Source organism: Homo sapiens, chromosome 21 (genome assembly GCF_000001405.40).
Source record: "Homo sapiens chromosome 21, GRCh38.p14 Primary Assembly".
Taxonomy (NCBI): domain Eukaryota; kingdom Metazoa; phylum Chordata; class Mammalia; order Primates; family Hominidae; genus Homo; species Homo sapiens.
The window spans coordinates 21,857,881-21,871,721 of record NC_000021.9 but is presented as its reverse complement, the minus strand read 5'-3'; the positions used below and the strand labels follow the sequence as shown (position 1 = coordinate 21,871,721).

The window sequence follows — 13,841 nt, the reverse complement described above, 5'->3', positions numbered from 1 at the left end:
CAGATCATAAGATGTTATTTGCAAGCCTCATGGTACCCACAAGTCAGAAAGATACAACAGATATACAAAATATTTTTTAAAGTCTGGGCACAGTGGCTCATGCCTATAATCTCAACACTTTGGGAGGCCAAGGCAGGAGGACTGCTTAGACCCATAAGTTTCAGAACAGCCTGGGAAACATAGGGAGACCCTGTTTCTATGGAACATTTAAAAATTAGCTGGGCGTGGTGGTACTTGCCTGTAGTCCTAGCTATTTGGGAGGCTGAGGAGGGAGGATCCCTTGAACCCAGGAGGTCAAGGTTGCAGTGAGCCATGATTGTGCCACTGCACTCCAGCCTGGACAGCAGAGGAAAACCCTGTCTCAAAATAACTCAAATAATAATAATAATAATAATAATAATAATCAAAAATTGAAACATACCCCAAAGAAAATCATGTTTACTGATAGGAATACAGGAAGGAAAAAAGGAAGGAACAGAACACCACAAAACAACCAGAAAACAAATAACAAAATGGCAGTAGTGAGTTATTAGTTATTAATAATAACATTAAATGTAAATGGACTAAACTCGCCAATCTGAAGATATAGAGTAGCTTAATGGATAAAATAGCAAGATCCAAATCTTGCTATTTTTTGTTGCCTACAAAAAACACATTTTGCCTATACAGACACACACAGACTGAAAATAAAGGGAAGGAAAAGGATATTCCATGCAAATAGAAACCAAACAAGAGCAGGAGTAGCTGTATATTTATGTCAGACAAATACATTTCAAGACAGAGTTAGTAAAAGAAAAGAAATAATGAAGAACAGAACAGTAATAAAGAAATTGAAATAAAATATACACAAGATAAATGAAATGAAAATTTGGCTTTTTGAAAAGATAAACTATGTTGACAAACCTTTAGCCAAATTAAAAATCAGAAAGAAGATCCAAATAAATAAAATCATACATGAAAAAGGAGACATTACAGTCGATACTACAGAAATTCAAAGAATCTTTGGAGTACTAGGAGGCACTATATGCCAATAAATTGGAAAATCTAGAAGAAATGGATAAATTCCTAGACATGGATAAGATTGAATCATGAAGAAATCCAAAACCTGAACAGACCAAAAAAACTAAAGAGATTGAAGCCATAATAAAAAGTTTTTTGATAAAAAAAGCCCAGGACCTGATGGCTTCACTGCTGAATTTTAGCAAACATTTAAATGAAAACTAATACCAACCCTACTCAAACTATTTTGAAAAATAAAGGAGGAGGGAGTACTTCCAAAATCAAGCTATGAGGCCAGTATTATTCTGATACCAAAACCAAACAAAGACATATCAAAAAAAAAAAAAAAAAACCCCAAAACAACAACAAAATAACTAAAGGCCAATATTCCTCATGAACACTGACGCAAAAATCCTCCACAAAATACTAGCAAACTGAATTCAACAACACAGTAAAAAGACTAGTCATTATGACTAAGTGGAATTCATCCTAGGGATGCAAGGATGATTCCATATCCACAAATAAATCAATGTGATACAGTGTATCAACAGAATGAAGGAAAATAACCATATGATTATTTCAACTGACACTAAAAAAGCATTTGATATTATTCAGTATCCTTTTATCATAAAAACCTTCAAAAACCTGGGTATAGAAGGAACATACCTCAACAATATAAAGGCCATGTACAACAGACACAGCTCATATCATACTGAATGAGGGAAAACAGAAAGCCTTTGCTCTAATATCCGGAATATGACAAGGATGCCCACGTTCACCACGATTTTTCAAAATAGCAATGGAAGTCCTAGCTACAGCAATCAGCCAAAAGAAAAAAATAAAAGGCATCCAAATTGGGAAGGAAGAAGTAAAACTGTCCTTGTTTGAAGATTATATGATTCTATATTAGAAAAACCTAAAGATTCCACAAAAAAAATCTATTAGAACTGATAAACATATTCATGTTTATTGGCATGTGAAATTATACTTATTTCAATAAGAAGTTAGAACTGGAAAAGAAAAAGGGAGTGTGGGAAGGAATTAATGGATGGCTACTTTGATAGATAAGGTTGACGTGGTCAAAGTAGTAAATGTTACGTGCAAGAGATTGCTGGGCCTTGTGTGTGATGTACACTGTACCCCGCTTTCCTTTTTTTTTTTAACACAAGTATTTTACCTTAGAGGTGGTTTTAGGTTTTAGGTTTGTGGTTTTAGGACAAACAATCAACATACAAAAATCAGTAGCATCTCTATATGCCAATAGCGAACATTCTGAAAAGTAATCAAGAAAGTAATCTCATTTACAAACACTGCAGATAAAATAAAATACCTAGGAATTAACCAAAGAAGTACAAGATCTCTGCAATAAGAGCTATAAAACATTGATACAAAAAGTTGAAGAGGACACACAAAAAAATAAAAGATATTTCATTTTCATGGATTAGAAGAATGAATTATTGCTAAAATGTCCATACTACCCAAAGCAAGCTACAGATTTAATGCAATCCTTATCAAAATACCAATGACATTCTCACAAAAATTAAAAAAAAAATCTTAAAATTTACGTGGAAATTTTAAGACCCAAAAAAGACCCAAAATAGCAAAAGCCATCCTCAGCAAAAAGAACAAGACAGGAGGAATCACATTACCTGGTTTCATATTATGCTGTAGACCTATTGTAAGTAAACAGTGTAGTAGTGGCATAAAAACAGACACATAGACCAACAGAAAAAAATAGAAAACTCAGAACTAAATCCATACATCTACAGTGAACTTGTTTCTTATGAAGCTGTCAAGAATATAGTTTGTGTAAAGAACAGTCTCTTCAATAAATGGCGCTGGAAAAACTGAATATCCATATGCAGAAGAATGAAACTAGACCCTATCTCTCACCATATGCAAAAACTAAATCCAGATCAAAGATTTAAATCTAAGCCCTCAAACTATGAAACTATTAAAATAAAACACTAGGTAAACCCTCGAGGACATTAGTCTCGGCAAAGATTTATTGAGTATTACTCCAACAGCACAGGAAAACAAAGCAAAAATGAACAAATGGAATAACATCAAGTTAAAAAGTTTCTGCACAGCAAAGGAAACAAACAACAAAGTGAAGAGACAGCACACAGAATGGGAGAAGATATTTGCCAACTATCCATTTGACAAGGGATTAATAACCATAATATGTAAGGAGCTCAAAAACTCTATAGGAAAAACAAATCTAATAATCTGATTTAAAATGTGCAAAAGTTCTGAATTGACATTTCTCAAAAGAAGGCATACTGGCCGGGCACGGTGGCTCACACCTGTAATCCCAGCACTTTGGGAGGCAGAGGCTGGTGGATTACCTGAGGTCAAGAGTTCGAGAACAGCCTGGCCAACCTGGTGAAATCTTGTCTCTACTAAAAAGTACAAAAAATTAGCTGGACATGGTGGCGTGTGCCTATAATCCCAGCTACTGGGGAGGCTGAGGCAGGAGAATCGCTTGAACCTGGGAGACGGAGGTTGCAGTGAGCCAAGACAGATGATGTTCGCTGCACTCCAGCCTAGGCGACAGAGTGTGGCTCCGTCTCAAAAAAAAAAAAAGACATACAAATGGCAAACAAGTACATGAGTTGGTGCTCAAAATCATTGCTTATCAGATAAATGCAAATCAAAACTACAATGACATATACTGCACTCCAGTTAAAATGGCTTTTATCCAGAAGACTAGCAATAACAAATGCTGGTGAGAATATGAAGAAATGAGAACTCTCATAAACTTGGTGGGAACGTAAATTAGTATATCTGCATGGAGAAGAGTATGGAGGTTCCTCAGAAAAATAAAAATAGCACTATTTTGTAACCCGGAAGTCCCACCGCTAGGCATACACCCAAAAGAAAAGAAATCAGTGTATTGAAAAGATAACTGCTCTCCCGTGTTTATTGCAGCACTATTCACAATAGCCAAGATTTGGAATCAACCTGTGTCCATCAACAGACAAATGTACAAAGAAAACGTGGAACATATATACAATGAAATAGTATTCAGTCATAAAACAGAATGCAATCCTGTCATTTCCAACAACATGGATGGAAATGGAGGACATGATTTAAGTGAAATAAGCCAGGGACAGAAAGACAAACTTCACATGTTCTCACTCATCTGTGGGTGTTAAAATTAAAACAATTGAATTCGTGGAGGTAGAAAGTAGAATGATAGTTACCAGAGGCTGGGAGGGGTAGAGGGGAGTGAGGAATGGGGATGGTTAATGGGTACAAAAGTATAGTTGATAGAATTAACAAGATCCAGTATTTGATAGCACAACAGGATGACTGTAGTCAGAAATAATTTATTGTACATTTAAAAATAAAAGTGTATAATTAGAACATTTGTAGTACAAAGAAATGATACATGCTTGAGGTGATGGACACTCCACTTACACTGAGGTGATTATTACACATTGTATGCCTATATCATAATATCTCATATATCCCATAAGCATATACATCTACTATGTACCCATAAAAATTAATTTAAAAAAAAGTGACAAAATTGCTCTCCTAATCAAGCCTATGTCATGCATATGAGAAGCTAAACATCAGGCTTATGTGGATTGTTATGTTTTTATCAGACATAATTTACACCACTTTTATGAATATTGACAAGGTCAATTTTATAAATCACCAAGTGATGTTGAGGCTCTATAATAATAATGTGTAATTTACGACACCATTTTCCAATTTTTTGAAAATATTACCATGTTATCTGTAAAAGTAACTTGCATTAAGACTATCAGTGTTAAACAAATGTCTTAACAGAGAATTTAATTTGTTATTTATAAAAAGGAAAAGGAGTCAACATAATTTTCAAGTGTATAATTGTTTTTATTTGTTATGTGTTTGCCAGATTAACTGAATTATTATTGATTTGGCAGATGTCTTAAGTAATTTAGGGTGACATAATACATGTCATCAGGAGAATATATTCTTTATCATACGTCAAATTAGACTGTCTCCCATTGTTTTAAATAAAGCATTAACTAGAATGAATTATTGAAAATATCTATGAAAAATATGTAACAGTGTACACAGGATTAAATCTTTTAGTCAAATCGATAATGTGTGCTATATTATATTTTTCAATTAATTTGTGGTTTTCTTATTGTTGTAGATTTCCAAATTGGAAAATCTTTTACTGTGAAGATTTATAAATATGGGGCAGATTTTCCTTGTTTTACAGTGCAGATGACATTTATCACACTTTTTGGTGGTCCAAAAGGTTTATATATGTTTCCTATGTTTGTGAAACTGACCATATTGATAGTATGTGCCTCACCCAGGTAGAAACTCACCAGAAAATCATCTTCTGAGGCTTGCATCAGGCAATATTCAGACATGTGACATGAGCCTTGTTATAGACTGAATTGTGTCCCTCTAAGATTCATATGCCGAAGCCCTAACTGCCAATATGACTGTATTTGGATGTATGCCCCTTAAGGAGATAATTAAGGTTAAATAAGATCATGAAGGTTGGGCCTTCACTCCATAGGACTAGTGTCTTTGTAAGAAGAGTCACCAGAGCTCTCTTCCTTACTCAGCATACTCGTAGAAGAAAGGCCATGTGAGGACACAGAGAGAAGGTGGCCGCCTGCACGCCTGGAAGAGAGATCTCATCAGACTAGCCTTGCAGGCACCTGAATTTTTTACTTCCACCTCCTAAAACTGTGAAAAATTAAATATCTGTTGTATAAGTTGCTCAGTGTGTAGTATGTTGTTTTGGCAGCTGAAGCTAATACAAGCCCCAACGATCAGAAATATTGCTCGAGCCTTTATTCATAAACTTGAGATATCAAGAAATGGTGCCCTCCTATGTGTCTTCAGTGTCAGCAGAGCCAGATCTTTCAAAGGCAGCTTACAGTGTCCAGTGTCTGTGACACAAACAGCGGTTGTGCCCAGCAACAGCCATGAAGGGTCCTATGAACAGTTGTTCCATCGTATGGTTTGAGTGTAAGCTCTGGTTGTGTAAACTCCAAAACTGATTCTCTGGCCCTTCCTGAGATATCAAATATTAATTAATACATTTGTATTCTCTCTAAAGCAGTTTTTGTGTGTGTCTTTATTTATAACCAAAAGGTGAAACAAACGGTTTAAAACAGTGCTTTGCGAATTGGTGAGTCATAAAATATATTTACTATGTAATTTTAAAAAATTAAACAGAACAGAAATAACAGAGTAAAACATAGTAATTACAGTTTCATGAAATGTTTGTTTCATGCATGTAAGTATATATGACATATATGCATATGTATGTCACATGTGTATGACATGTATGTAAGCATCTTTGAATATGCACATACATTAATGTATGCATGTGTATGTGTACATACAGATACACATATCCAGAATATGTGTCCTGGATCTCAGATAAAACCTACTTTAAAGTGAACTTAGGGTTGGGGAGGCTGAGTAACCACTGGTTAAATGTATTTTGGATGGAGACTTTGATGGTATAACATGCTTCTTAAATAATTTTGAAATGAAGTAATATACAATTGGATTATATTAATTAATCACCAAGTACAATTTTCTTTACTCCCTCAAAAAATATCCCCGCCTAATTTTTGAGTAAATCTGGTTATACCTAAATTATAGAGCAAAGCAAAGTATTCTCAGCTTATCTTTCCTGATTTAACTTTGAAACAGAAAGAATTCCCTTCCTGCACATCCAAAAAATCAAGTTCTGCTTCTTGTTCCAATGACTTTTCCCCCTCACAGTAGTACCTTAAAAAAATGTAATCATGCTGACTTTAAAAGCATGGTTTCATTCCCTGGCATGATTTGTTTTTTTTCTTTATCTCAGAGATGAAAAGTTTTAGAATCTCTCTCAGAAGGGTGAGAAACTATTGTACACATCTATATAAAAAATCAAGAGATTTCTTCTGTGAGAAGTTCATATCCAATTTGTTTAACTTACTTTATGTTATAAACTTCAATAGCTTATTTGCTTTTTTGGATTCTGTGGCCCTTTCTGTTTGTGAAAAAACCTCTTGGCAACCAGGAATACATGACAGTATTCCTCAGCTGACAACGTGCCAAGGATCATCACATCTAGAAAAAGCGCTATCTGGCGGGACATAAATACAGGGTCATACCATAAAAACGACTAAAGCAACTGCTGAAGAATATAGAATGGATGTAAACCTCAGCTGACTCATTCAGTATAAATGGAATATGTGTGACTGAAATATAATTGCTTTTTAACTTATTCATTTGCATTTTAGACCAAGAGATAAATATGAATTGGATTTTATTCTCTCAACTGAATGTAAACAGACACATCATAAACCACATTCAAATTGGAACTTTAAGTGCACTGTATAGTTAGGATCCTTTCCTCATCCTTCTCCCCTTCCAGCTTCTGCCCTCAACTAGGACAGTACTTTGCTCAATATAGTAGCCGCTCCTTCATCCTGGTTCCTGGAAAGAGGGAGACACGAAAACTTTGGTCCAAGCCAGCCCCACAAAGCCCAGCTGCAGAATAAGCATTTCCTTCACTTAACATCAGGAAGCACGTGGTATATATATAATCTATTATACTTTGAAGGTTGTTTTTTGGAATCCAAAGCTTATTAATTATTAATATACAATTTAAAGTAGGGAAGATTTTATTGAATATATGTCTTATAGTATACAAAATAAATTTAAAAATATAACTCCCAAGGAAAAAAAATAATTAAAAGATCCGTGTCATTTGGGAGAAGTTGTTAAATCAGTGTCATGGTTCATATGAAAGTGAAATTTCTTAGCAAAAAGGGCAAATGACTTCTTTTGTTGTTGTTGTTGTTGTTGTTGTTGTTGTTGTTGTTGTGACGGAGTTTCACTCTGTCGCCCAGGCTGGAGTGCAGTGGCACGATCTCGGCTCACCGCAAGCTCCGCCTCCCGGGTTCACGCCATTCTCCTGCCTCAGCCTCCCGAGTAGCTGGGACTACAGGCGCCCGCCACCACGCCCGGCTAATTTTGTTTTGTATTTTTAGTAGAGACGGGGTTTCACCATGTTGGCCAGGATGGCCTGGATCTCCTGACCTCGTGATCCGCCTGCCTCGGCTTCCCAAAGTGCTGGGATTACAGGTGTGTGCCAAAATGACTTCTTAATATTACCATGGAATAGTCTTAATCTCATGAACCCCCTGAAAGCATCTTAGACACTCCTGGGGTCCCTGGACCATTTCAAAAACTGCTAGCTTAGCACAAGTCTTATTTCCTGGAAGGCATTCAATAAGTACTTGTTAAATAAATTAAGTCTAAAATGATTGATGGGGCTGGCACATCGCTGTGTTTGTAAATTCTGATGTGGTCATGCTACTTGTCCTCAGACCTCAAACCTGTGTCCACTTCTCCAGAGGGTAGGGTGTGTCTTGGCCTCTGTGCTCCTCTGCCCTTCCCATGAAAGTTGTTCTATGAATGAGTGGGTCAGAGCGTCTTCCAAAATCTAGAAGCTCCTAAGCACTCTGGAGAAGCCAAAACACCCTCCTCTGAAGAGGTTCTTTGTAGATGATTTTGAGGAATCAAGATAAGAGTTGTCTGACTTTGAGCTTTTGTATTTGTGTGAACAGGGTGTCATGAAGTCTGGGAAATCTGGAAACACAGACAAATGTATATCATACATCTTAGAAATGTAGAGGCACTTGGGGCCCAGACAAAGAAAAGATATCTCATTTAAGAGAAAAGCTAGAACATAAGTTGTGTTCTTTAAAAGACTTTTTGATCTTCAAAATGGCATGAGTTGCTCTAACTAGAACCTTGATTTTTAACCATTAATGTTCTCAGAAACATACAGTAAGTGATTTTATCTATTATCTAAAATGACAAAATAACTATAAAATTTAGTCTCCTTCTCCTAACTTGTTACATTGGGGAAATAATAGCCGTGGAATTCTTTTAGTTTTCAATCAAATGAGACAATGTACATGGTACAAGGCATTAGATTAGAATATGTACAATGACTGCTCTCTATTTTTGTTGCAATCCATATGTTGGAAATCAAACATTTGGTGGAAAAAAATTGAGGTGATGACTTATCTACTGACTTCCAGGTTCATGTATTTAACATCTTACCTGACACCTGTAGATACGACCATAATCCACATCTAAAAATTCATATGATCCCACCCCTCCTACTCTTAAGCCTGCTCCCGTAATCTTAACATCTCAGCTCCTGAGATTTTGCCCCCTTATTCTATTTGCTAAAGCCACAAAACTTGGTTTCCTTGACTCTTCTCTTTCTCACCCACATCTAGTTTCCAGTGAATAAGATTGACTTTACTTTCTAGATACATACCAAACTTGACTTCTCAACAACTGCATTGCCACCATCCTGGTACAAGTCACATTACCTCTTGCCAGGTAATTGCAAGAATCTAGTAACTGATTTCCATATTCCTGCCCTTGCCCTTTTCACAGTAGTTTTAGCACAGCAATCATAGTGACCAAAATAAGGCATAACAAACAAGTTTATTCCCATCCCTTGCTCAAAACCCTCCGGTGGCCTCTTATCTCCTTAGGGTAAAAATCCAAGAGTGCTTAGAACCCACAAGTCCTATGAGTGGCACATGGCACTTCTTGGTCCTCCCCACTTTACCTCTCTTTGCCGCCTTAACCCATTTCATTCTACTCTCTTGGCTGTGGATTCTGCATGCTTCTTAGACATCTAGGTGTGCTCTTGCTTCGTGGCCCTTTGAACAGGTTGATCACTTTTTCTGGAAATATTATCCCCTATCTCCTCTTTAGATCTCCAGTCAAATTCACTCTCTCAGGGAGACTTGCTCTGGAAATGCTGTTTAAAAGTTCAACTCCATCTACCAACACATACATACTTCATATTGCCTTTTCTACTTATTTTTCTTCCTTAGCAATTAGCATCATGTACATCATTATATATGTGAGTCTTTTAAAAAAGTTTTTAAGCCCAATGATGGCAGATTTTTTTCTTTTGTTCATTTTCAGTGGTCAGAATACTTCCTGGCAGTGAACAAATGCCCAGTGTTGCCTAAGGAATGAACTGATACAGGACTTGCAAATACATGCTACAAACCAGCGCTAGTACCCTTATCCCATCACCTCAGCAAAAGTTAGTAAGAATTAAGAGGTGAGGGGAGGTTGTTTGGGAGTAGGGGAGAGCTCTATGAGTTTGCTGTGCAAGCTGACTGTATTAGAAAGAATATTTATAGAAAGAGATTGTAATCCGTTTACCCCGAAAAAACAAAAACAGCTTTCTTACCAAGAGGCTATCTGTTGAACGTTCAGGGGATGGGACATCTGTGAAAGCCATAAAAGTGTATGTGAGAGAAAGAAACAGCTCTAATCACCCACCAGGCCAATGACAGATCCCACATATGCCTCCCGTGTGGTCATGAGGAATTTCTCTAATGTTACTTCCTTGGACCCAACCATGGAGAAATGGGACCAATTGTAAGTGTGTGTGTGTGTGTGTTTTGAGAGGTGAGAATATCTAAGTTAGAGATTAGAAGCTGATAATATCCACTATTCCATTTTCCCATTCCTAGGCTAAAACAGGACACCGTTAGAGGATGGGAAATGACCTAAAACCTCTGACTCATAGCAGGTTCTCAATTCTATTTTTAGAGTAGTTGGTAATAACAGTGCAAGTGTAAATTCTGTGGCAAAGTGAAAGTACAAACAACTTTACTATAGCTTAGGAAAAAAAACAGGTCTGCACTAGCTACAATGTGAGAGAGGTTAAATAGAGGATAGAGATAAAATTGTCACTGATACTCCGAATAGGAAGGAAGGTTTTGATTTCACAGAAGGGGACTGGGAATTGAGAAGACTCCACTGGTGACCCTAAAGAGTACATATATAAAAGGAAGAAGAATGTATTTGTGGTAGACAGAGAAGTTTGATGCATTTGCTCTTAATTTCTAGTGACTATGTTCAACTGCCTTGTAAATTAGAAATTTAAGGGTTTTTGACTGTCATACTTGAAATTTCTTAAAAAAGTAAATCAGTGATAAATTCACAACTCCTAAAATGTTAGTGGTTCTGATAAAAGTAGTTTATGTTGATTCATGAGTTGATCTGTGTGCCTGGGCTGTGTAATTGTTACAGGCATTTTATGTTAATCAGGCTTTTGATGTGTAAATAGCATGATTTAATCTCAATTTCATCACCAAGAAGCACTGACTTCAATGACCTTGTTTATGTTAAAACTCTTTTCTTATAAACTAGACTTTGAACTGGAACTATAAAAGGAATATCTGAACATCATTAACCTAGTGTTCGGTACCAAAGTTAATGACCATTTATATTATAATCATTAACAAAATAATAGAGTGATCAAGAATATTTTCCTACACCCGTGTGTGGCAACATACACCAGAGCGTAAATAATCTCTGTAAGTTTACTCAGGAAACATGTATCAGGTATATATAAAGAGAAAGATTAATCTACATCATAAGACATGAGAATAGTAAGTACACTAATTAAAAATAAATTAAATAATCCACTTGTATGTTTCCATTAAAACTCCTACATTATCTTTTAAAAATGAGTTTTAGACAAGCAGTTTTGCAGAACAATAAAAACAAAACTAGTGTCCTAACTTTATGAAGATTGCCTTAAATAAATTATTGATGTACCTTGAAATAAGTTTAACACCTTTATATGTTCATGGTAAAATGCACTTTTGTATTTTCACTTATCACTATGGGTTGTTAAGCCCGTATTGTGCATAAATAATCTTGATAAAAATTTTAAGAGAAAATCACATTGTGTGCTAGTGAATCAACAGAAAGGAGATTACTTTAGTCATGCCCTGTAATAACAACTTTATCTTTGTCAAGGGAGAAGCCTTGAAAGTTATTCTTCAGGAAATTGCTCTCGTATCTGTATGTTAATAACAAAAAGAAGAAACATAAAAATTGAATGTGGAAATATAAACCCCCAAAATTATAACAGAATTAAACATGAAGATATTATGCTTCATGCATATTTAAAATTAAACACTAGGTATGTGCTGTATTCTCAATTCTGCTGGCATATTTGCATATTAAATTCTTTTTAGAAACTGGTTCATGAAAACATCACAAGATGTGATACAGGAATTGCTGTATTACAACAAATCATATTACCATAGAACCTCTTGACAGAGTATTACTGTCATTCTAATTTTCTGTTTATTTGCATCTTTGATAATGATTGTGGTGATCTTGTTCTTCAGCAGTTAAACTGGTTTGATTACCAGTATGAACAATGGCATGTTATGAATTGTAAATGTTCCAACCCACTCTGCAGGTGCATCTCTGAGGAATACACATAAATTCTTAGGTTTATATCGAGGATGGTGAGTTATTTTCTTTACCCAACTCCTGTGGGTTCTGATGACCAGCAGGCAGATGATGCGGTTGAGTTGTGGAATCCAATTCCCAGTCAGAAAGCATGTTCCTTAGGTCATAAGTTTTCTTTCTTTTCTTTTCTTTCTTTCCCTTCCTTCCTTTCTCTCTTTATTTCTCTCTTCTCTTTTTCTTTCTTTCTCTTTTTCTTTCTTTCTTTTTCTTTCTTTTCTTTCTTTCCTTCCTTTTCTTTCCTTTCTTTCTTTCTTTTTCTTTCTCTTTCTTTCTTTTGCTTCTTTTTTTCTTCTTTTTTCGCTCTCTCTCTTTCTTTCTTTCTCTCTTTCTTCCTTTCTCTGCCTTCCTTCTTTCCTTCCTTCTTTTCTTCTCTCACAGTGAAGTTCTTCTGCTATTAGGTCATGCAGACAACAGAGATAACAACACAACTGAAATCATCTGAAGCCTCCACCAACTAACCATCATTAAAATAGATTCATTTGTGCTTATGAGATTCTATATCCTTTGAGAGTTTGCATTATTGCCCTCATTTCTGACAATTTAAATACAATCTTAAAATTTTGAATACCATTTATTAAAAAAATAGTAAAAATCAATTTGCTTGGAATGTTTGAAGAGAATATGCTGAATTGATCAGATGCTTAAAAGTAAGCTTAACAAATTTTTAGAAATTGCTGATGCTGATAATTATGCTCACGAGTTTTACTATATGAGACTGAAGAGTGTTAATTATTGCAAAATTACTTAGTTTTAAAATAAGATTTTGAAGTATTTGGAAAAGACTTCATGACAATATTAAACTAATGAATTTTTATGTAATGGTGAAAATGCAAAGGTGCCCAAATTTTGAAATACTAAAAAAGTTTATTACATAGCTATTATTGTTTCTAAAAATCCAAGACCAACTAAAAGAGTCTTCATTTTGTTTTACTTTAATTTAAAATGTTTAGTTACCACCTCTAAATATGCTGATACAGTCGGTCTAGTATGGTGTTCAAAAATCTGAATTTTATTATTTTTGCACATTTTTAAATAAAAGTCAGATAATTTTTTCACCTGGATTGTATGAAGCATTGATATATCAGCTCCTAGTTATGTTTGACTGGGGTTTTGAATGGATAAGGCAAATGCACTTGCAATATGAGTTGGACTTTTTAAATTCCCCCATACAATTTGAATATTTTTATAATATCATCATTTGCAGAGTATAATTTGGGGACTTTTACATGTTCCTGAACAGTAAAACCTGAATTTTCTCTAATAGTATAAGTCACGTAAGTCAAGCATGTACTTTTTTGGGAGTGAGGGTGGGAGTTAGCATCGCTGGTTACTGTGCAGGGAGAAGGGGAGATAACTGATGAAGGTAAGAATGATGAATTACACAAGATAAGTAATCAGGCTTTTTATTTTTAATATAATCTGTCTCAATCCAACTAGATCCCCCATTTGTCACTATTCTCTATATGCCGTCAATCTCAAAGGATATAAATCACCTG

The 13,841-nt window shown here is 35.4% G+C and overlaps 1 annotated feature.

The window, feature by feature from the left end:
- Positions 10,306 to 10,506: a silencer, noted in NCBI's record as "peak4378 fragment used in MPRA reporter construct". NCBI's record gives its function as "represses an SCP1 promoter by STARR-seq MPRAs in K562 erythroleukemia cells {active_cell/tissue: K562}" and the evidence as "EXISTENCE:reporter gene assay evidence [ECO:0000049][PMID:32103011]".